Below are 25,931 nucleotides of genomic sequence, written 5' to 3'. Positions count from 1 at the left end.
CCATGCCCGGCTAATTTTTTAATTTTTTGTAGGGATGGTGTTTCACCATATTGACCAGGCTGGTCTCAACCTCCTGACCTCAGGGCCTCAGGAGGCCCGCCTTGGCCTCCCAAAGTTCTGGGATAACAGGAATAAGCCACTGTGCCTGGCCAGATGCATAATACTATTTCTATGAAAAAAGAGCACCTAAAATTATTATATCCAAAATCTACTGTAAAAAATGCAAATATTCTGAGATAAAATTGGCCACACGTAATTTTTAAAGCTGTTTTAAGTACAAAAATTAAAACAAAAAGATGACCTCTTTGCAAGCAGTCTCTTTTGGTAAAAAATTTAAATCTCAGTGAAAAATAAATTATCCACAGATTTATAATTCAGTAATCACTACTGTTTATTTATGGTTAGCCTTTTTTCCTCTGCCTATATACTTATATATCACGCACGTTTGTTTCCTTTTTACAAAATTATAATCATACAATCTATATAAAACTTTACATACTAATCTTTTCACTTAACATGTTCCCATGTCATTAAAATTATTGGAAACATGTTTATAGCTTTATAACATTTCTAATTACAGATGTGTCATAATTTGGCATTAGGTTGTTTTCAGTTTTTCATTGTTACTAAAATGCCACAGTGAATGTGTGTATGTGTGTGTGTATATACATATATATCTATATCTATCTATCTATCTATCTATCTATCTATATATATATATATATATATATATTTTTTTTTTTTTTAAGACAGGGTCTTGTTCTGTCACCCAGGCTGGAATGCAGTGCCACGATCATGGCCCACTGCAGTCTTGACCTCTTGGGCTTAAGGGATCCTCCCACCTCAGCCTCCTGAATAACCAGAACTATAGGCTACTCACTACCACATCTGGTTAATTTTTTAAATTTTTTGTAGGGACAAGGTCTCACTATGTTGCTCAAGCTGGTCTCAAACTCCAGAGCTCAAGCAATCCTTCCACCTCAGCCTCCTAAAGTACTGGGAATACAGTTGTAAGCCACTGCACCTGGCCAACAGTGAATATTTATATATATATAATCTTTGAATCTGATCACCTTCTTAGAACAAAAATCTAGAAGTATGATTTCTGAACTAAAGAAATTGAACATCTTTAAGACTCTTGATATAAGTTGAAAAATTGCTTTCCATTAACATACTAATTTATATGCCTCACCCATAATCTACAGTATATGAAAGTGCCCATCTAAACCATGTGTTTACAGGTCCATCTCCTTAAAGAGAGTGTAAGCTCCTGTAGGAGCTTATTTTCATGTTAGATTTATTCATTTTTGTATCCTGGCACCTACCACATGGTACGTGCTAAATAAATAGTGACCAAACTGAATTACAGTATAATGACAAGACTGTTGTTTCCACCAAAAAAGAAACAGAAATCCTCATTAGGAACACATATGTCCTACCTCTGCTGCGGAAGCAAAGGAATCCGTGGATGCGATGCTCAAGGTGTCTCGCAGGCCAAAGTCTTCCACATTACCCTTCATGGTGATATCTGTATCTTTATCTTAAAAGTAAAAGGTGAAAAGTTCAGAAAGTGATATTCCACATCATTGTGGTATTTCACATTCCATAGTTTGATTTTGATTTTTCCCCCAGTCTTTATTTAGACTACTAGTGTCAAAAAGAAAACAGTAAGTATCCATTGTTTAACTGAATCTGAAACTCTGACAAGTAGGGGAGACAATGTTACAAAGCAAATATTCATTTTTAATTTAAAAAGGAATTAAGCTTAATTTTTTATTAAAAGGGCTTTTTAGTACATTATAACCAGAGTTGGATTATCTACTATACATGATGAAGTCAGCATATATCACAGCTAGTTTGAAACAGAGCAATTTATTTGCAAGTGGTCTTGCCCAAATTAGAAGAACTTGTAGGTTCATTGTAGGTTCATTCAAATCAACTATATTATTAACATAAAATATCCAGCCTGTCACTTGTGATAAGCTGATCAATTAAAACAATTCACGGCCGGGTGCAGTGGCTCACACCTGTAATCCCAGCACTCTGGGAGGCTGAGGCAGGCAGATCACCTGAGATCAGGAGTTCGAGACCAGCCTCGCCAACATGGCGAAACCCCGTCTCTACTAAAAAAATACAAAAATTAGCCAGGTGCGCACCTGTAGTCCCAGCTACTTGGGAGGCTGAGGCATGAGAATTGCTTGAACCCGGGAGGTGGAGGTTGCAGTAAGGCAAGATCACACCACTGCACTCCAGCCAGGGGGACAGATCAAGGCTCCGTCTCAAAACAACAACAACAAAAAAAAACAATTCAAGAAGATATTTGTGACTTTTTCAGGCTTTAATGAGACCTACTTTAAAAACTGAATGGTCAAAAACAATCAGACCTAGGTCCTTGATGTTTACTCTGCTTACCTGAGGGTCAAATATAAATGCCCCCAAAATTTTAAAAGGTTGAAAAAGTTCAAATTCTTTGGAATGGTTAATCTCGCCCTATCAAGACAGGCTGTTAGCAATACTTGTCATTCGGAATGTGGGTATGAATATCCTCATGTACTGTTATCAGGAATCTAATTGTTAACATTAAATTTTCAAACAAATACTTTCCTTCTTACATATGTGACTATAATGGAGAAAACAAGTGATAAACTTCAAAATGTATCATAAGTATGAAAGAGCAAAGAATAAAACATATATAGATTTTTCTTATTTTGATTCTGAATCTGCCAAATTTGTCAGACACTATCTTCTTTAAAATGAAACCAGCTGGCTGAGGTAGCTCATGCCTGTAATCATCCCCGTGCTTTGGAAGGCTGAGGCAGGAGGATCACTTGAGTCCAGGAGTTTTGAGACCAGCCTGGGAAACACAGTGAGACCTCGTCCAAAAAAAAAAAAAAAAAATAGCCAGGTGTTGTGGCACATGCTCAGGAGGCTGAGGCAGGAAAACTGCTTGACTCCAGGAGTTTGAGGCTGCAGTGAGCTATGACTGCACCACTGCACTCCAGCCTGGATGTCAGAGTGAGACCTTGTCAAAAAAAAAAAGAAAGAAAAAAGAAAAGGAAGAAAGAGAGAGAGAGGGAGAGAAAGGAACAAAGAAAGAAAAGAAAAGAAAGAAAGCAGAAGTCTCCTTGGCTTTGATTCATCCAAATTTTCATTTCACAATTTTCCCAAAATTAAAATTTATTACCTCTACTAGAAATCTGTTAAATTCTGTTTAAAACCCTAAGTACCAAAAAACACAACTTGTGACTCTACCCAGGAAGTATGGGTTTTTTTTTTTATTCAAAGCATCAATCTGGCTTCAATTAAATGTTTAAATCAAAAGTTGTACAATCAATTATATTCCAAGCTCTACTTGGAATATAATTCCTAGTATAGAATTCCTAGTATAGAAGCAGAATATATTCTGCTTCTACCACAAGCAGAAGACAGAATAAGCCACAATTGGTACAAGGTTCATTCCTATTAAGCACCAAAAATAACCATACATGTAACATATTTTTTTCCTACTTTATGTTTGGTGAGATCAGACTTTACATTTTAAGTATTTACCTTCCAAGTTTAAATTATAATTGTTTTCAGATGACGTTTACATCAATCCTTTTAAAGTACCTAAAACTTTTCATCTTAAAAATCTTTCTACTACTAAATGACTATTAATGGGATAAAATCTGAGGTTAAATTATTCCATTATAAAAATATTTTAGAAATTTACATTTTTCCATTAAACTAGAGAATAAAACAACATAATTGTTTCACACTTATAAATAGCTATCAAACTGGTATTTTGGGACACTCAATTAGAAAAACTCCCATAATTCTCTTTTCAGTGCATATTAAGGCTTTTTAAACACAAATACACACACACTGAGCTTTTATACAAAACTTAATCCTCGTGTACAACCTTCAAAGCGTTATCTTAATTATTTTCCATTCTCAGTATTTCACAAAAAGAAATCACAGTTTTACAATTTTCATTATGTCATGGCATTATCAGAGTGGGATTAAATTTTATTTTATTTTATTATTTATTTATTTTGAGACAGAATTTTGCTCGTTGCCTAGGCTGGAGTGCAATGGCGCGACCTTGGCTCACCACAACCTCCACCTCCCAGATTCAAGCGATTCTCCTGCCTCAGCCTCCCAAGTAGCTGAGATTACAGGCATGTGCCACCACGCCCGGCTAATTTTGTATTTTTAGTAGAGACGGGGTTTCTGCATGTTGGTCAGGCTGGTCTCCAACTCCCAAACTCAGGTGACCCGCCCGCCTCCGCCTCCGCCTCCTAAAGTACTGGGATTACAGGTGTGAGAGCCACTGCACCCGGCCGAGAGTGGGATTAAATTTACAAGTCAATTAACTCTTGTTTCCATATGGCTTTTGCTATTTTCAGAGTAGAATACAGACATTTATCTAGTGTCACTTTACCTCTCAGACATTACCCATGTCTGATGTTAAAAGTCTGTTTTACTTTAGTCAACAATAACCAGCTATTCAATGTCATCCAGATCAGTTACCATACTTGTACTTTATTTTTTAAAAAATCTAACAAAGAAAAATGGCTCACTTCCAGAGGAATTAGAAGGATTTACTCATTAAATCCAAGTCCATAAACCATAGACTATACCTCTTATTTCAGTAATTGTTATGATTCCTGGAATGGCAGCTAAATGATTACAAAGAGAAATAATACTTCTGTTTCTTAGATACGACAATAAAAAGTACAAAGAAAGAATCTTGGGCAATATCCCAAACTAACTGCTTTCATGCATCCAATTAAATTTTAAAATACTCTTTCTTAAAAGTGTCATAAACTCTTGGCCAGGCACAGTGGTTCACGCCTGTAATTCCAGCACTTTGGGAGGCTGAAGCAGGCAAATCTCTTAAGCCCAGGAGTTCAAAGCCAGCCTGGGCAATATGACAAAACCCTGTCTTTACAAAAAATTAGCTGGTGCAGTGGCACACACCTGTAGTCTCAGCTACTTGGGAGGCTAAGTGGGAGGATCACTTGAGTCTGGGAGGCAGAGGCTGCAGTGAGCCAAGATTGCACCACTGTATTCCAGCCTGGGTGACAGAGCAAGGGTCCGTCTCAAAACAAAACAAAACTAATAAAAAGTTTTATCAACTCGACTGTGGTACTGAAAGACAGTGACAGCATGGAAAACGGAAAACCAAAGGCAGCTGGGTGCAATGGCTCACGTCTGTAATCTCAACACTTTGGGAGGCTGAGGCGGGAGGATCACTTGAGCCCCAGGAGTTCAAGATCAGCCTGGGCAATAGAGAGAGACTCCAGCTCTACAAAAAATTTAAAAAGTTAGCAGGGCGTGGTGGTGCACACCTAAAGTTCCAGCTTCTCGGGAGGCTGATGCGGGAGAATCGCTTGAGCCCGTAAGTTCAAGGCTGCAGTGAGCCATGATCGTGTCACTACACTCCATCCTGGGTGACAGAATGACACTGTCTCTAAAAAAAAAGAAAAAAACCAAAGGCTTCATCTTAGTCAACATTTTCAGAAACTTCTAAATTTTTCTCAGCCAAAAAAAAAAAAATCCTAAAACCACAGGGAAATATCATTACACACCTACCAGAATCACTAAAATTGGTGGAAAATGGTTATTATTATTATTATTATTATTTTGGTCGAGGATGTACGGTCAGTGGAAACTCTCACACACCACTGGTGGAAACAACTGGCAGAACCACTTTGAAAAGTTTGGCATTACCTATGAAAGTTCAAGATGGCTTTCTCTATGACCTAGCAATTCTACCCGTGGGTGTGTTTTACAGAAATGCATGCTTATATGCATAAGAGTGTTCATAATAATACTGTTTATAATAGCCCCAAACTGGAAAAGAAACCAAATGTCCAAATATAGAATAAACAAACCGTAGTATATTCATACAATGAAATACTACACAACAATGAAAATAAATGAATTGCAGCTACATGCAGTAACATGGATCAATCTAACAATATGCTGAGTGAAGAATTACATGCAGAATTCATTCATAATGAAAAACTATTATTAAATTCACTCATGCAAAATTCAAAAACAGACAAAACTAAACACACTTAGTGATAAAATTATTTTTAAAAGCTAGAAGGTGACCGGGTGCAGTGGCTGATGCCTGTAATCCCAGCACTTTGGGAGACCAAGGTGGGTGGATCACCTGAGGTCAGGAGTTCGAGATCAGCCTGGCCAACATGGCGAAACCATGCCTCTACAAAAAATACAAAAATTAGCCAGGTGTGGTGGCAGGCACCTGTAACCCCAGCTACTTAGGAGTCTGAGGCGCAAGAATTGCTTGAACCCAGGAGGTGGAGGCTGCAGTGAGCTGAGATCGCACCACTATACTCCAGCCTGGGTGACAGAGTGAGACTCTGTCTCTAAATAAAAAATAAATAAATAAATAAGATAGAAGGTAATTAGCCTGAGCATCAGGACAGCTGCACTCCAGCCTGGGTGACAGAGTGAGACTCTGTCTCAAAATAAATAAATAAATAATAAATAAATAAATAAATAAATAAGCTAAAAGGTAATTAGCCTGAGCATCAGGACAGTTGCTCATTCTGCAGGTGACTGGAAGGGATTACAAGAAGAGCCATCTTGAAAGTTGGCAATGTTTTACATTTTGCTGTACATGATAGTTACATAAGAATGTGTGATAAATAATTGTACTTTTTTGCTTTGTGCACTTTCCTCTAAGGATTTAAATAGAAGGAAAGAAAAGAAAGCAATATCAACTATATGTCTTGGTCCCAAATAGCTGAGAGCAGAAAAGGCTCAATCAGAGCTTCAAAGGCAGGAGGAAGGAGGGTAAGACAATGAATGCTTTCTATATTTCAGTGTTGCCAATGATGCTGTAAATCATTACCAGACACGAATTTTATAACCTGATTGAGAAAGCATATATAATGATGCTAGATTCAAAAGTCAAAAGACTTGATGAGTGTTAAATATAACAGCAAATTGAAAATAATTTATTTGTACCCTGTAGTGAATACCAACAATAGTAGTAGTGTATAATGCCAAGTATATACCACTCATAACCTTTTTTCTCCAGCTCTGCAACCTTACTTTGCTATTTAGTGATTGGTTTAGAATTTTAAGTGGGAATGCTTAAGTGGGGATAACCAAACACTTTCAAGAAGGAGAAGACATGGAAACTAAGGAATGTCTGCTATTTAATCATAACAATAGAAGCGTGATGCAATTAATCAAAATAAACATTTATTTTTCACTCAGTACTTGCCAGATACCAAGTTACATGCTTTACATATATTACCTTATTTTCAATCCCCACAATAACCCTTTGATGAGGTAGATACTATTAGTTTTCTCATTTTATGTATCAGGAATCTAAGGAACAGAGAGGCCAAGTAGCTGCTACATACTTACACATCTAAGAAAGAGAATGGTAGTATTCAAACTCAGGTCATCTGATACCAGATGCTATGCTATAAACTACGGAGCCCTGGTGTCCAATACAGTAGCTCCTAGTTACATGTGTCTATTAAACACATGAAATGAGATGTGCAGTAAGTATAAAATACATAATAGATTCTGAAGACTTAGCAACAAAAAAGAGAAAACATCTTATTAAAACATACTGGGTTTAAGAAAATATATTATTAAAATTAATTTTATCTGTTTCTTTCGAGCCTTTAATGTGGCTATTAGAAATTTTAAAATTACATTTGTGGCTCACATTATATTTCTATTGGACATTGCTGTTAGAGCATTTGTTGTTCATATTTTCACTACAGTGCAAAGAGCTTACAAGTTCTTTAGAAGACTCAGATTCAGCTTATAGTTTTTGAGTCACTATTACGTGTCCAAGTAATACTAAGTGCTTTCACAGACTATTTTACTTGACATATGTAATCATTAGAGAAGAATAGCCTAATTATGTATATTGAGTTTTTGTAACTTGGGAAAAAAAGCCATTTTCTAATCAAATGGCTCCTCTATTGGTTTCCAAAGCTTTCCATTATCTCTGATTATCCTACCTATCCAATGTTCTTTTCTATCAATTATTTTAAAAAAAAGAAAAAAACTTACTGCTTTATCTGAGGGTATGTTGACCATATCCCCACTTGTCATACAGTAATGTAATGGGTAAAAGCGTGGTTTCTGATTCAGCCAGCCAGCACCTGGATCCTGATCCTAAGATTTGCTACTTACCACCTACGTAAACTGAGGATAGCAATATTAATTTCCTAGAGTTGTTGCAAAAGTTAAATGAGATTTGTGGAGGCACAGTACTTGGTCCATCGTGAGTATAAAATAATTTTTTCTATTACTATCATTACCAAACGCATTCTTTATTCAAGCCTCTGGTTCCTCCTGTTTCTACTCTACATATATCCTACTCTCCTTCTGCTCCCTTGCCCTATGCTACCCATAAGCACATTTTTTTTAATACTCAGTTCAAGTATTATCCCCTGTAAACATCCTCCAAAATTTATCTGATTTTTTGCTCCTATGTAAGGCAGTATAGCAAAAGCGTTAAAACCATGGGTTCTAGAGCTGAATTCCAATACTGACTCTGTTACTTATTAGCTGTGTAACCTTGAGTAAGTTTCTTATCTTCTCTGTTCCTCAATATTCCCATTTGTAATATAACTTGAGTGGAGGGACTTTACTTTCTTTCTTTTCCCTTTTTGTTTTTCCTGGTGGTTCGTACAGTTCTCGGGAGATTATTGAACACATAACAAACACTTACATATTTGTTCATGTAAACTAAAATTTATTATTATAAATGGACCGTCCCCAGGACATGAAAATCTCTAGAGAGCCTATCATATACTTACTCTGGTTCATTTTGCCTATGACTTTAACTTGTTTTCAGAACCCTGTTAAATTTCTTACGTTTCTTTCTTTTTTTCTTTTTTTTCTTTTTTCTGAAACAGAGTCTCGCTCTGTTGCCCAGGCTGGAGTGCAGTGGAGCGATCTTGGTTCACTGCAACCTCCACCTCCCAGGTTGAAGCGATTCTTGTGCCTCCGCCTCCCAAGTAGCCGGAATTAGAGGTGTGCACCACCACGCCTGGCTAATTTCTGTATTTTCAGTAGAGATGGGGTTTCACCATGTTGACCAGGCTGGTCTCAATCTCCTGACCTCAAGTGATCCACCCGGCTTGACCTCCCAAAGTGCTGGGATTACAGCTGTGAGCCACCACACCTGGCTTATTTCTTATGTTTCTAATAGCCAGCCCTAAATTAACTAAACTTATACTACTATCTTGTAAACCTGAAATATGCAGCTTACACTCCTTAATGAATGATAATGAACATTAGAAGTTCATTTTAAAAAGCTTTCCCCAAACTGGTTGATTGTACATTAAATTTAAAATACTCTGTAAATTACCACACTGGCTCTCAGTGAAGTAGCTCTTTTTTATTTTTGGTAACATTTTAAAATAAGTAAATCTATAATTAAAAAAAATTTAAACTGTCTCAATCACCCAGAACTTTTAAAGCATTCACTGTACACAGATATCAACGATGATATTCTTTGGAAGTACATTAACACCACAATGTTTACTCTTAACTCAATTGTCACATATTCTAGGCCAAAAATCTGACTGGATCCAAGCCTTACCCTTCTTTCACAATCTCATAATTCACATATTACTTGAGTTTTTTTCCAAAGCAGGATTTGCTTTAAAAGTTTTAAAGAAAACTAGAAGTCCTGGAACTTGGAATTTCAGGCCTGGATCTACTTCCTTAGACCAATCCAAGTGGGTTTTCTACATTTCACTTTTGCCATCCCTAGGCACATTCTATTTTCTGTCACTTAGAAAACACTGGGTCTATTTTAACCTCAGCAGATTCTAGTAGAGATTCCAAAGATGCCACTCTTCTTTTAAAATCCAGGCTGTCCACTGCAGATTTTATAACAGGAGCAACAAGAGGAAGCCTGCCAATTGTCTCAACGTCATCTGACTTCTATGTCAACAGCTTTTCTCCAGGTGATATTCAGCAGTTAAAATATGACTTGGAACCTTGTCCTTTCTATGCTTTTATTAACAATGGAAAAGCTTCTGCTGTCGACAAGATGAGCTATTTTCCAAACAGAGTCTGTTATAATTTGTTTAAATAATCAAGTCTAGGAAACCACTGCTGCTCTTTGTTTATTCTGTATGACTATCTGCCCATACATACTGTGGATAATTTTTACTTTCTGATTTGTTTTAAAATACTACAGTATAATTTGAGAGAAAGAACAAAGTTGAATATAAAAATCAGAAACAACAAAATTTCAGAAAGTGAAAAACTAAGACAGTTATAATATTTTCTTGATTTTTAACCTCAATGTGCCTCAATATTGAAAAGAGAAACAATAAAATCCACTGAAACAAAAGAAAAGAGAACTTGGGGCAGGTGCAGTGGCTCATGCCTGCAATTCTGGTGCTTTGGGAGGCTGAGGCGGGAGGACCACTTGACCCCAAGAGTTCAAGACCAGCCCAAGCAACATACCGAAATCCCATCTCTATATAAAATAAAAACATTAGCCAGGCATGGTTGTGTGCACAATGTAGTCCAGCTATTCAGGAGACTGAGGCAGGAGGATCACTTGAGCCTAGGAGTTTGAGGCTGCAGTGAGTTAGGATCACGCCACTGCGCTCCAGCCTGGACAACAGAGTGAGACCCTGTTCCTCTAAAAAAGAAAAAAAAAGTTATATATGATGAGGTGGTGGGAATAATAAAAAAAAAGAAAAAAGGAGAACTTGTCAAAGTTCTTGATTTGTGATGACGTATAAAGTTTCACCCATGTGAAATAATGTATGTACAAAACAGCCTGATATTACCCAAAAGAAGATTTCCACAATAGTTGTCTCTGGCATTCCCTATTTATCAAAATTTTTATATACTATGATTGACCAACACAACAACTGTGATTCCTAACTGGGAAGTACAGCTGCCAATGCAAAGTGAGTAACACAAGGAAAGGGAATGGGAACCATTCAAACACTTTAGAAGAGTAACAGCATTTTCTACACCCTCCCCCCTTTTGTTTAAAGAAGAAAGAAGTGACTAGATTAACCCAAACTGGAGCAAGAAGTCATTAAGATTAGGTCTGCAGTTACAGAGACTTGAGCAGGGCCACGAGGTACAACTGGTCATTCTGTATGTTACACAAAGGTCCCCTGCCACAGGAATAAGTCGGGGCAGAAATCCAGCCCAAATACTAGACCTGCATCTTCCTGAAGGAAAGTGGACCTTCTTCTTGGCACAAAGGTCCCCTCCCAAGGGGCTTACATGGATGGCCCTTTGTCTAAATCACATAAAGGCCTTATATGGGCAGTGATGGTCCTGGACATAGAAATCCAAGCTGTTAAGACATAACTTCAACACAAAACAGGCAAAGGCAAGCACCAGAAATTTCTCATGTTTCTGGGACCCCAACAATTTTCATTATATTGCTTTCTTCTCTGAACCTACTTTAACTTGTATAATACCAGTTAGATTTCATTTTGTGTTATTACTAAACCCTTTAAAAATAAGATTATGAGCCTTACACATGGGAGGAAATTACTAAGCCAAATTTCTCATATGTTGTACAATGTGTACTCTGTATATTTAGATGTCTGAGTATACAACTTAAGCTGGCAATTCATATCATTCCCTAAAAATAAACCCTCAGGGAGTTTATCCTCCAACCACAATGATTCTGCAGGAATGGGAGAGGACAAGGTCTCAGAGCTTCAACTTGGGGCTGACATTTGATGTAAGATGTTAGGCTGAGGTATTTCCTCTTGTTGCCAAGTTCATTCAGTATTTCTAAATGTTCTATCTGGCTGCTTACCAAAAAAGAAGAATAACATCTCTCTAGTGGTCAAGAGGTTCTACTTGACAGCTTTTCCTATGCTCTGCCAGAGAATTTGTGCAGTCAGTACTAAGCTGGCAAAATCTCTAATTTTCCCTTAAAGGATGTCTCACTGACTCAATAAAATCTTATAAAGGAGCAGCAACAAAAATGGATAAAATATTTAAACTGTGCCAGCCACACTTCCAGACTTCTTCAAACTCATAAATTTGATTATGACTTCTTATAATCCTCAACGGCTCCCTTTTGTCTAAAGGTACAAAGCAAGGACCTTCATAATTTATGTCCTGCCCAGCTTTCTAGGTTCATCTCCTACCACTCCCCACCTATATTGTGTTTCCAAAACATATCAAAGAACTTGTAGTTCCCTAAACAGGCTCCACTCTGCACCTTGATCCATGTTCTTCCCTCTGCTAGGAATGCTCTTTTCTCAACTGTCTCCCTAGCAGACCATCTTTCTTTAAGTGTCACTCCTCCTGTGAAACGTTCCCATGAGCCCCGCTCCATGAATAATCACATGCTTTTCCTTAGTGTTCCCATAGCACTTTATAAACATGTTATTATGTACTTACTCCACTGTCTGTGTATTTTTTAATGCCTGTTTCCAAAACTAGACTCTGCATTGCCTAAAGGCAGAGATGAAATCTTCATCTTTATTTCTCCAGTGTCTTATACCATGTTTGACATATACTAGGAAATTAAATGTTTGCTAAATAAATATTACAGACCCAAGATTCTGTGAGCTCATTCTGTAAAAACATAGATTAGGAAGATGCCTAAACACTTATCTGAAATATGTGAAGCAATGCTTTCAATAAAGCCACAAAAATTCCTGGTTTAAGATCTAAATCTGTTCCTACACATCAATATAAAAGAATCTCAAAGTCCTCTGTTTCAGCCACAAAAATAACATTTATCACACAGGCTTCAGTGTTGCCTGCTAATACTACTACTGTACATATATACTACTCTTCACAGGAAGTGTAACTACACAAAATATGAAGCCCAATTAATTTTAGAAGGAAATGAAATTAGAGATTAATAAGTTGGAACTTTATTCATTTAAACCATACCAACTATATAATGTCCCCAAGAAACTGTGGACAAGATACATCTGTTGTTAATCGGGTTTACTTTTTTGGTGTTGTTTTGTTTTGAGACAAGGTCTTGCAGCCTAAACTTCCTGGGCTTAAGCGATCCTCCCACCTCACACCCAGTTTATTTCTAAACTGGCATTAAATCCAGCAATTTATTCCTGCCCAAATAGTCTAACCAAAGTGCGTAAAGAATAATGTTAATTCCTGAATCTACTGTTACAAAAATAAACTTCCAAAGCATGTAATCACAAACATTCGTCATGATATGACAGTAACAGAAGTCTCCTAAAGTATAAGTTATTCCTGGTTTTAGAGATTGGTAGGATCCCACATTTTGGTGGAAGATGAGAATTTCCTCATGAGAGATTGGTAGAGTATCTCTCAGTTGTTGTGGCCAACTGAAGCCTAATTTTTACCAAAATAATTCAGATAATAAAATTTCTGTTTATTATAAAATATATAAATATATATTTTTATTGTGTGATATTTGAAATGTATAAAAATTACCTACATAGCATAGACATGTTTCTGGACTCAAAATAATAAAACAAACATTTTTGCATTTGCTACCCATTTATAGCCACTTTTCAAAGCTTACAAAATTACTTGTTTATTAAGGAAAGTAACACTATCATGCAGAAATACACTGTACATATCTTCTTACGTGAAACTTGAGTTCCCAAATAAATTTCATAGATATTCAGATACTGCAGCAAAAAACAGCTGCAGATAACTAAAGAATTAACCCATATGTCCCAAACAAGATCTGTTTACTTTCAAGTTCTTATCTTAGGCTCTTAAACAGGCTGAGGGCACATCAATTGTGAGGTATGGGAAGAAATGGAAGTGGAGAGGAAAAGTTAAAGAAGGATCTTCGACTTTGTGGATGGAGGTTAGGCTCTGAGTCTAATTGCTCGGTATTGAAGAATATACTAACTTATATTGCTTTTTAACTGCTCCATAAGTGTAAGTGTTAGTTACCCCACCAGACTACAAGCAACCTGAAAATAGGCACATTAGCCCTTATTTCATCTGAATTTCATCACATGCTTCAGAGTTGTGTTTAAGTATTTGTTTGCTGTGTCAGGTACACAGCAAATAAATAAATACTTAAAAACTGATTTTTAACCTATATCTGCTTTAAAGTCTCCATGTGTATCTCTGCCATTAATGCTCCTTTACCTTAATGAGAGGCTATAGCCACAGGGAAATATAGTCTTTGATTCTGTATAGTGGGCCAGCTGACTTATGGTCCTCTTTCTGACACAGCTCTCTTCAGACATAAAAAGATTATAACACTCTACCCAAAGCGGTGAGATAGGGCAGGGTTGCGGGGAGGGGGGTGCGGAAGAGGGATGAAAGAATATGTGGTGAAAAGATGAAATAAAAATAAACATGTTATCATTCCCAGATAATATGTGGTCTAAATAAAAACTCCAAAAGAACCTATGTCAAATTACTGGTATTACAACTAATAAGAGTTCACAAGAGTTGTTAATATTCAAATGCAAAAACCTACATTTAAGATCCCAGCAATGACAAATTAGAAAATGTAAACTTAAAAAGATAACCACTTATAATGACAATGAAACTGTAAGGGACTTAGGAAAAAAGACATATAAGACATTTATGAAGAAGATTATAAAACATTATGAAAGATATAAATGAAGACCTAAGTAAAGAACCATACCATGTTCACAGATATAAAGGTTACTATTATGAAAATGTAAATTTGCCTACAGCTGACCTATAAATACAATATAATAATCAAAATCCCAAGAGAGTTTTTCATGAAACTTGACAAGCTGTCCTAAACTTCACATGGAAAAGCAAAGGGCTAAGAATAGTCATGACAAGTCTCAAAAAGCCCCACAGTGAATGGACTCACCCTGCCAAGTGTCAAGATTTATTATAAAGCTATATAAAGCTACAGTAATTAAGACACTGTGAAACCAATGCAGGAAACAGATTAACAGAACAAAATAGAGAGCCCAGAAAAGACACACAGAAAGAGACCTGACATATGACGGTGGGGGGTGGGGGGGCTTTGCAAATCAGTCAGAAAAGAATATATTATTCAAAGAGAGGTGCTGAGGCAATTACCCATCCAAACATTAAAAACAAAACAATAAAATACATTTAAAAAAACTTCTACGGCCGGGCGCAGTGGGTCACGCCTGTAATCTCAGGACTTTGGGAGGCCGAGATGGGAGGATCACTTGAGATCAGGAGTTCAAGATCAGCCTGGCCAACATGGTGAAACCCCGTCTCTACTAAAAATACAAAAAAATTAGCTGGGCGTGGTGGCAGGTGCCTGTACTCCCAGCTACTAGGAAAGCTGAGGCACGAGAATCACTTGAACCTAGGAGGTGAAGGTTGCAGTGAGCTGAGATCGCGCCGCGGCACTCCAGCCTAGGTGACAGAACGAGACTCTGTCTCAAAACAAACAAACAAAACTTCTAGAAGATTTTTTAAGGGACAGGGTCTCACTCTGTTACCAAGGCTGAAGTGCAGTGGTGCCATCCTAGCTCACTACAGCTTCAAACTCCCAGGCTCAAAAGATCCTGCTATCTCAGCCTCCCAAGTAGCTGAGACAACAGGCATATACACGCATGCCACCACACCCAGCTAATTACTTTTATAAAATTAATTATTCTACTTATTTTTTTGTAGAGACAGGGTCTTACTACATTGCCCAGGCTGGTCTCAAACTCTTGGCCTCAAGCAATCCTCCCACCTTGGCCTCCCAAAGTGCTGGGATTACATGCATGAGCCACCATACCTGACCAACTTCTAGAAGAATAAAGACCTAAATATGAAAAACAAAGCTTTAACACTTTCCAAGGAAAATACAAAAGAATTATCTTTATCCCTCTAAACAATACATAGAAAGCACAAACCATATAGGAAAGAATGAAAAATGTGATGACATTAAAATTAAATATCTGGGACCAGGTACAATGGCTCATGCCTGTAATCCCAGCACTTTGGGAGGCTGAGGCAGGACGACCACTTGAGCCCAGGAGTTCGAGCCCAGCCTGTGAAATACAGGAAGACTCCCATGTCTACAAAAAATACAAAAAAAATTAGCTGGGTGGTGTGGCACATGCCTGTAGTCCCAGCTACTTGGAAGGCTGAGGTGGGAGGATCCCTTGAGCCCAATAGTTCAAGGCTATAGTAAGCTATGGTCACACCACTGCACTCCAGCCTGGGTGACAGAGTGAGACCCTGCTTCAAATTTTTAAAAAGAAAAAACAAAAAGACAAACAGACTTACTGGCAGTAGTACTTTATATATTTGAGGCTTAAAATAAAATACACATGAACCATACATTATATTTTCCTCATGTACTTAAAAAATTAGTTTTAAATTTCTACTTCACTAAAAATAAAGTTCTGTATTTAATAAGCTGAAATTATACCATTTACTTAAATTTATTGCAAAAAACCTTAATGATACCCATCTTGTCTATCCATCCAAATATCTATCATTCAGATATTACCTGCAGGGCCTCGTAAGCAGAAATGCACATGAGAATCACCTGCTGAACTAGGAAATACAAACCCAAAGCTTCATGTCCCAACCCCAAAGTTTCAATTTCAGTAGGTCTAGAGCAAAACCTATGAAGGTGATTCTGATAAACATCATAGAAGACCCACAGACCTACTACTATCTATACTACATTCAAACCAGTTTCAGACACTGAATAGAATTAAGTATGTCTTCTGCCCACAAGGAGTTTAAGGTTTAGCATAACACACTGGATATGTACATAAATAATTATAATGTATTGTCAAGAGTAATCAATGTCACAAAGGAAACCATTAAACCTCCCCACCCACCTTTATTTATTTATTTATTTATTTATAAGACAAAGTCTCACTCTGTTGCCCAGGCTGGAGTGCAGTGGCCCAATCTTGGTTCACTGCAGCCTCCTCCTCCTGGGTTCAAGCTATACTCCTACCTCAGCCTCCCAAGTAGCTGGGACCACAGATGCACACCACCACACCCAGCTAATTTTTGTATCCCACCTTCATATTTCATATAGGACTTCCACTCCAATCTCCAAGAAGCAGCTATTCTGGTTTTACATTTTAAGTTGCTCCCTTCACCTCTTCAATTGCTCCTCCCCATGGGAAGAGTAACTTGGCTAATGCTGAGAACCTGCATGCAATTAACCAGGTAGAGGAAAATAAGATAAAATTAATGTTCACTAGTTCTTGGTGTGTACTAGTTCACTCTCCTTCGCAGACTTTCTAGAGAAAGGTCAGGGTCTGCAAACCCATCCTCACTTTTGCTCTGGATCTCACTCCTTCTGAGCTGGACAAAGTGTTGGCAGAAATTGTAAGGCAGGCAGGGAATCTCTACGCAGCTGGCTGGGTAAGTATGTTGTTAATTTGCTCTGTATTCTCTTCTCCAGATAATTTTTTATTTTATTTTATTTTATTTTTTGAGACAGGGTCTCACTCTGTCACCCAAGCTGGAGTGCGGTGGTGTGATCATAGCTCACTGCGGCCTCGATTTCCAAGACTCAAGCAACCCTCCCCACTCAGCCTCCCAAGTAGCTGAGACTACAGGCGTGAGTCAACACACCCAGCTTCCAGAGAATTTTTTTGAGGGGAAAGGAAGAAGTTGTAAAAATCCTTAACACATTGTCCAATCTGGCTATTAAGAAAAAAAGTTTAGGTCAGGCGTGGTAGTCGGGAGGCTAAGACAGGAGAATCACTTGAACTCAGGAGGCAGTGAGCGGAGATCGTGCCACTGCACTCCAGCTGGGCCACAGAGCAAAACACCATCTCAAAAAAAAAAGGCTCTTTTTGGCCAGGTGCAGTGGCTCATGCCTGTAATTCCAGCACTTTGGGAGGCCCAGCTGAGTGGATCACCTGAGGTCAGGAGCTTGAGACCAGCCTGGCCAACATGGTGAAATCCCATTTCAGCTAAATATACAAAAAAATTAGCTGGGCGTGCTGGCGGGCGCTTTTAATCCCAGTTACTCGGGAGGCTGAGGCAGGAGAATCACTTGAACCCAGGAGGCAGAGGTTGCAGTGAGCCAAGAATGTGCCACTGCACTCCAGCCTGGGCAACAGAACAAGACTCCATCTCAGAAAAAAAAAAAGGCTCTTTTTGTGTTCTTAATTTATTCAGAATCCAGACCTGGCATGGTGGCTCATGTCTGTAATCCCAGCACTTTGGGATGCCAAGGAAGAAGGACTGCCTGAGCCCAGGAGCTCGAGACCAGCCTGGCAACATAGTGAGATCCTGTCTCTACAAAAAATTAAAAAATTAGCTAGTCATGGTAGTTCACGCCTGTAGTCCCAGGTACTCAGGAAGCTGAAATGGGAGAATCACTTGGACCCAGGAAGTTGAGGCTGTGGTGAGCCATGATCGCACCATTGAATTCTAGCCCAAGCAACAGAGCAAGACCCTGTCTCAAATAATAATAATAATTAATAATAATAGGATATGCCAGCAAGAGGCAGTATATCCATTATCATTTTTTATTTTCCTCCTACGCATGACAAGGTCAGAGATGAGGGAAAATCAGTAATCTTAGCTACATCTAGAATAATTATTTTTTCAAACCCTTCAGATAATTTCTAACCCGGAAAAAGGTAGATTTATAAAAAGCACCTTTTTTTACTTTACCAAAAAATAAGTTTAAACATGGCTTACCTTGTTTCATTAAATACAAATTTATATTACTATGAGAAAAATCAAATTAATTCCCAGAAAAAAAGAATGTTGTCTGCAGAATTGACTAACAATATCATTGTAAAACAACTTATGAACATGTGACATCCTCCTATCTATAACTATGAAATTTTTAAACCAGCTTAGAACAGGCCTCTTTAAACTGCTAGACTATAATTATAATAATGAATAGATAAGTGTTTACCATGTGCCTATGCTAAATATGTTATGTAATCTCACTTAATCCTCACAGTTTTATGAAGTTGATCCTAATATACTCCTACACATTACAGATGAAAAAGCTGAGTCTAAGCAAAGTCAAGGCTTGCTTAATGTCTCGGCTAGCAAGAGGGGTAGAGCCAGGATTTGAACCCATGCTTGTTTGACTCCAAAGCCCATATTCTTAATTACTAAGTTATACTATGTATAATTGAAATCATATTGGAGGTTTTCGTTAAGCCTTCAGAAGTTACAAAAAAAAAGTTTATCAATTATAATTTAACAATCTCTGAAAATAGAAGCTACAAATAAACATAAACATAACACTTCCAGATACTTTTAGCTAGAAGAACTTGCACAATAATGGAAATTTACAGTAATGTTATTTCATGTCTTCTCTGCATAACTTCCACGTTCTTTCTCATTCTGAGTTACAGTACCAGGTGCATACAAAGCCTGCCAGCAAGTGTTGACTTATATTTAACTCCCAGTGCTACAAGTAGCAACACAGAATGGCACCTGAGTCACAGGCATCCAACATGTAGATAAAACGTGCTGCCCTCTAGTGATTTCAACATCTCACATTCAGCACTAAACGGTCTTATAAGTGAATAAGGAAAACGTTTTCATTTTTAGAGAACTAACTCAAATCTTCATTTCATTTGTTTGTGATTGCACAACTCCTATATTCCTATAAGAGAAACAGAACAGGGCCAGGCATCGTGGCTCATGCTGTAATCTCAGCACTTTGGGAGGCTGAGGCGGGCAGATCACTTGAGGCCAGAAGTTCGAGACCAGCCTGCCAACATGGTGAAACTCCGCCTCAACTAAAAATACAGAAATTAGCCAGGTGTGGTGGGGCACGACTGTAGTCCCCAGCGCACCTGCAGTCTCAGCTACTTGGGAGGCTGAGGCAAGAGAATCACTTGAACCCTGGAGGCGGAGGTTGCAGTGAGCCAAGATCATGCCACTGCACTCCAGGCTGGGCATCAGAGCAAGGCCCTATCTCAAAAAAAAAAAAAAAAAAAAAAAGAGGAATAGAACAAATAACTATTGTTTAAGCCTGTATTAAACTCTTGGTGCACTAGCACTTAGAAATGCATGCAATAATGACTCATTAATTCAGGATGGTTAAGGAAATGCAGCATGGAACATGGCAAACAATAAATTATAGAATATGGAGTGGGTTATATTTTATGGGTGGAATTCATTCCTTAAAACATAATTCAAACCCTGCCTAATGCAAAGCTATTTTCTTATCATAGGAAACATTGTAAAGATGGCTTGAAATACAACTACTGTGCTATATTTCTTTTTGCAGGCATACTTTTAAACCACAATAATTATAATAAAATCTGTGTTTATGCTTTTAAAACACAAAATATTACTAGTAAACCATTTTGTATCAGTATCACCTCCTTCCAAAATATCAAAAATATTTCCTATTTTAATTATTTTTAGAGACTGAGTCTCACTGTTTCTCAGGCTGAAGTACAATGGCCCAATCGTAACTCACTGAAGCCTCGAATGCCTAGGCTCAAGGGATTCTCCTGCCTCAGCCTCCTGACTAGCTAGAACTACATGCACACACCACCATTCCTGGCTTAAATTTTTTTATAGAGACGGGGATCTCGCTATGTTGTCCAGACTGGGTCTTGAACTCCTGGTCTCAAGCAACCCTCCTGCCTCAGCCTCCCAAGTGCTGGGATTACAGACAGGCATGAGCTACCACACCCAGCCTGTTTTCTATTTTAACACAGATGACAGCACAGCTTAGGAATGCATTTGAATGTTTGCAATTTTAGAGCCAGGTTGTCAGAAGTTTTTCATTTTAAAAATAAAAGTCCTCCTATTTTAATACTGCTCTTTTATTTTCTCAGCATTAGTTCTAATATTTCCAGCATGTTTGCTGCTAAATTAACAGAAATGTCAGATCTTCTTTTCAGTATTTATCATATTTAATGGCTTCTTGGATGGCAATGTTACGGAATAGAAAATAGATTTAAAATTTAACCAAAGTAAAAACAACAACACAACCAAATCACTTGCAGAAGTTCCCATGCGTATAAACAACAGTATGGTTTATAGGCTATTCACAAAGGATAGTTAATATTTCTGGTTACCAGCTGAGGTGTCACGACCTATGTGGCAACAGAGAAACAGAGTTTAGAATTCAACAGGCCCACCAGCTTTGAAACTAAGTGATTCTTTAAAGAACTTTTTAAAAATTTTGTCCAGCCTAGACAACAAAGTGAGACCCCGTCTCTACAAAAGAATTAAAAAATTAGCCAGGCACAGTGGCATGCACCTGCAGTCCTAGCTACTCAGGAGGCTGAGGCAGGGGGATTGCTTGAGCCCAGGAGTTTGAGCCTGCAGTGACCTATGACTGTGGCAATGCATTGAAGCCTAGGAGACAAAGCAAGACCCTGTCTCTAAAAACCAAAAAACCCAAAACAAAAATTTGGGATTTGCATTCAATTTAACATGAAATGCTATTCTGCACTATTTCAAATTCATGAAAATCTACTTACTTAAGCTTAGCTTAACACCATCCACAGTGTATTTTTAACTCCTTTATTGAAGTATAATTTACATACCACAAAATTCTCCCCCTTTAAGTGTGCAATGTGTTTTAGTTTTAAATGTATAGAGCTGCGCAATGGTTACCATATCCAGTGTTAGAACCATACTATATGTTTTTCAAAATCTATGTTATTAACTTCATCTACCAAAAGTAACCCCAAATAATTCACAATACTGATAACTCAGAAGTTTTTTGGATCTGCTATTTAAAAAAAAAAAGGAGAATAGACATCATTTATTTTCAATAAATTCATTGTTATCTACAAAGAAAAATGCTGAAAGAATCATGCTGGGCCGGGCGTGGTGGCTCACGCCTGTAATTCCAGCACTTTGGGAGGCCGAGGCGGGAGGATCACGAGGTCAGGAGTTCGAGACCAGCCTGGTCAACGTGGTGAAACCCCGTCTCTACTAAAAATACAAAAATTAGCCTGGCGTGGTGGCACACGCCTATAATACCAACTATTCGGGAGGTTGAGGCAGGAGAATTGCTTGAACCCAAGAGGTGGAGGTGGCAGCGAGCCAAGACTGTGCCACTGTACTCCAGCCTGGGCGACAGATCAAGACTCTGTCTCGGAAAAAAAAAAAAAAAAAAAAAAACATGCTGAAAGGATTTAAACAGTCCGCCTATAATCTTATCCATAATGTTAAGTTGGCAAACTACTCTTCTATAAATAGTACAAATGTATAATAAGTAGAATCCTTATTTAAATTTTGAATTCCAAATTAGTAAAATAAATTTTGCTAAGGCTCTTCTAAAGTAAATAAAATCTGACACATTAGCCTTCCAATACTAAAATGATTTGCAAGTGAGTATAGAACCAGCTATGAACATTTGATGGCAAATCCCTAGCTGCAAAAAACTCAGCCTCAGCAATATTTCCAAATAGTGTTAATTAATATCAGCCTCTTTTTCAAAAAAATTCTGTATTTTCCTAAATTCCCAGTTAACATTTTGTTATGATATACAAAAAAGTATCCCATGATCTCTCTCACTCTTTTTTTCTCTAGAGACAGGATCTCACTCTGCCACCCAGGCTAGAGTGCATAGGTACCAACATAGCTCACTACAGCCTCGAACTTCTGAGCTCAAGTGAAGCTCCTGCCTCAGCCTCCTGAGGAACTAGGGCTACAGGTGTGAGTTACTGTGCCCGGCCCCATGGTCTCTTTATAATCAAGATGAAAAACGTAAAAACAGAATAAGCTGAATTCATAGCTGGTTGAACAAAGTGTTTTTTTAACAGCTTTATGAGCTATTACTGACATACAAAACTGTATATATTTAAGGTGTACGATTTTTTTTTATATGTATGCAATGTGAAATGACCACCAAAATCAAGCTAATTAATGTATCTACCACCTCTATAGAGTGATTGTGTGTGTATGTGTGTGTGTGGTGTGTAAGGTAAGATTTAAGTTCTAGCCTTTTAGCAAACTTCAAATATGCAACACAGTATTATTAACTACTGTCACCATGCTATACATTAGATCTCCAGAATTTATTCATCTTGAATAACTGAAGCTTACAAAGTATCTTAATAATTATTTGTGACCTAAGGAAATTTGACAGTGTCATGCCTCAGGTCTCTGACTCTGACACTATCCATTTTAGCAATTTTTATTAATGATTTCAATGACAGCACTCATTACCAACTATACAAAACTAACCAAATTAGAGAATGATACAAAGTTGAGAAGAATAATTAATACGTTAGATGTCAAATCAAAATCTAAAACTATTTGGCCAGGCGCGGTGGCTCACAACTGTAATCCCAGCACTTTGGGGGGCGGAGGCGGGCGGATCACCTGAGGTGGGAGCTCAAGAGCAACCTGACCAACATGGAGAAACCCTGTCTCTACTAAAAATACAAAATTAGCCAGGCATGGTGGTGCATGCCTGTAATCCCAACTACTCAGGAGGCTGAGGCAAGAGAATCGCTTGAACCCAGGAGGCAGAGATTGCGGTGAGCTGAGATGAGATCGTACCATTGTTCTCCAGCCTGCGCAACAAGAGCGAAATTCCATCTCAAAAAAAAAAAAAAAAATCTAAAACTATTTAACAATTCAGAATGATGACTCAGAACTAACAATTTAGTAAGAATAATAAATACAGTACCTATACCCTTGGTCCAAAAGAACAACTGCACAGGAATAAATGAGGGAAGATGTGGCTTAATGGTAAGAAACTAACAATAACAAAGAACTTAGAAATTTTAGTTAACCATAAGTTCACCAAAAGCCAATGTAAACCTTAGACTCTATTATTATAATGTCCAGAATTTATTATCTTTTTTTTTTTTTTAAGACGGAGTCTCACTTTGTCGCCCAGTCTGGAGTGCAATGGCACAATCTTGGCTCCCTGCAACCTCCACCTCCCAGCTTCAGGTGATTCTCCTGCCTCAGCCTCCCAAGTAGCTGGGATTACAGGCATCCGCCACCACACCCAGCTAATTTTTGTATTTTTAGTAGAGACGAGGTTTCACCAGGTTGGCCAGGCTGGTCTTGAACTCCTGACCTCAGGTGAGCCACCTGCCTCAGCCTCCCAAAGTGCTGGGATTACAGGCATGAGCCACCATGCCTGGCCTAATGTCCAGAATTTATAGTTCAACATGGTAGGCAAATTACCTTCTAGTTCAAGAAGGTACTTCTCTTTCCTCCCAAAGGCCCATTGAGAAGGACAGAAGAAATTTTTTTTAATGGAGTAAAGTATAGCATCACTGGAAAACATGAATAGGATATCAGTGGACCAGAAATTTTAAAGAACGTCTTGAAATTGGCAAATACAGGATCAGAAAGGTAGAATAAGAACAACAACAACAACAAAAACGACAGCCTAAGATTCTAGAGGTAAAATGATGGTCTTCCTGAGTGTCCTAGAGAAGTTCCAAATTCCGAGCCAATACACATTGTTACCCTGTTCCTAGAACTTTCATTTAATCCTCAGTTTATAAAATTGGTACTCTATATGTTAATTTTTCAGAAGAGGAAGCCAAGGCTTAGACAGGTTTTATAATCACACAGATAAATGGAAATGTCAGGAGTTGAACCCAGTTAGTCTGCATCCACAGTCTGTACTTTTAGTTATTATACAGATGTAGGATAATCCGTCAGAGTAACTCATTAGCACTACACTAAGTTCAGGGTCACAGTCAGGCCCTCTGTCTCACATAGCTTGCCTCTTTTGTTCTTGGATTAAACCTTGACAATTTCTTTCTACAAAATGTGTGAAATCTGCCTAGAAAGCCTGAGAAAGGAAGAAAGACACATGAGCTAACTACAGATCACCACATGAGTATAGAGGAAGAAAAATTAAAAAAAAAAAAAAAAAAGATCTACACAAAAGCATACCACCACCAGAAATAAAAGTCTCCTTACTCTGTCAGCTGTGGAATTTCCAGGCTGCCTGCTCTAAGCTGACCTTTCCTACAGGGAATTTTGGGTATAGGCATACTTTGTCCACAAAAAGTTCACAGTTAATCCTCCCATTCAAGGAAGACGTCTGTCCTATAAGTGGTAAGTCAATACAGCATGGTGATTAAGAGAATGGACTGTGTGACTGGGCACAGTGGCTCATACCTGTAATCCAGGCAGTATGGAAGGCCGAGTTGGGTGGATCATTTGAGCCAAGGAGTTTGAGACCAGCCTGGGTAACACGGCAAAACCTCACCTCTACCCAAAATAAAAATTAGCCAGGTATGGTGGCAAGTGCCTGTAGTCCCAGCTACTTGGGAGGCTAAGGTGAGAGGATCGCTTGAGCCCAGGAGGCAGAGGTTGTACTGCGTCAAGATCGAGCCACTGCACTCCAGCCTGGGCAACACAGCCAGACCCTCTCTCTCAAAAAAATAAAGAATAGGCCAGGCGCAGTGGTTCACCCCTGTAATCCCAGCACTTTGGGAGGCCAAGGTGGGTGGATCACCTGAGGTCAGGAGTTCATGACCAGCCTGGCCAACATGGTGAAACTCCATCTCTACTAAAAATACAAAAACTAGCTGGGCATGGTGGCACGTGCCTGTAATACCAGCTACTCAGGAGGCTGAGGCAGGAGAATTGCTTGAACCCAGGAGGTGGAGGCTGCAGTGAGCCAAGATCACGCCACTGCACTCCAGCCTGGGTGACAAGAGTGAAAAGGAAAAAGGGAAAAGGGAAGAGAAAAGGAAAGGAAGGACTCTAAAGCTAGCTTGACTGGGTCCAAACCCGGGTTCCTCCACTTAATAGCTGTGTAACCCTGGGGAAGTTATTAATGCCTCTGTACTTCACTTTCCCCATCTGAAAAATAGGGATGATAGGTATATTTATATCCTAAAAGTTGTTGTAGGGATTGAGATGATTTTCTTTTTCTTTTTTTTTTTTTTTTTGGGACAGAGTTTTGCTCTTATCGCCCAGACTGGAGTGCAGTGACACCATCTCAGCTCACCGCAACCTCCGTCTCCTGGGTTCAAGCGATTCTCTTCCCTCAGCCTCCCGAGTAGCTGGGATTACAGGCACCCACCACCATGCCCAGCTAATTTTTGTATTTTTAC

General features: G+C 38.4%; 1 protein-coding gene across 17 annotated transcripts in view; it reads right to left on the bottom strand.

Moving 5' to 3' along the window:
- The window catches only part of MIGA1 (mitoguardin 1), a 99,892-nt gene that overhangs the window by 34,694 nt on the left and 39,267 nt on the right, over window positions 1–25,931 (bottom strand). For all 17 annotated transcript variants that reach the window (NM_001270384.2, NM_198549.4, NM_001416120.1 and 14 more), the window contains one exon: window positions 1,440–1,540. In NM_001270384.2, the coding sequence (NP_001257313.1) occupies window positions 1,440–1,540 (101 nt within the window). The remainder of the gene's footprint in view (window positions 1–1,439; window positions 1,541–25,931) is intronic.

This window comes from Homo sapiens, chromosome 1 (assembly GCF_000001405.40).
Source record: "Homo sapiens chromosome 1, GRCh38.p14 Primary Assembly".
NCBI classification, from domain to species: Eukaryota; Metazoa; Chordata; class Mammalia; order Primates; family Hominidae; genus Homo; species Homo sapiens.
This window is presented reverse-complemented; position numbering and strand designations above follow the sequence as displayed.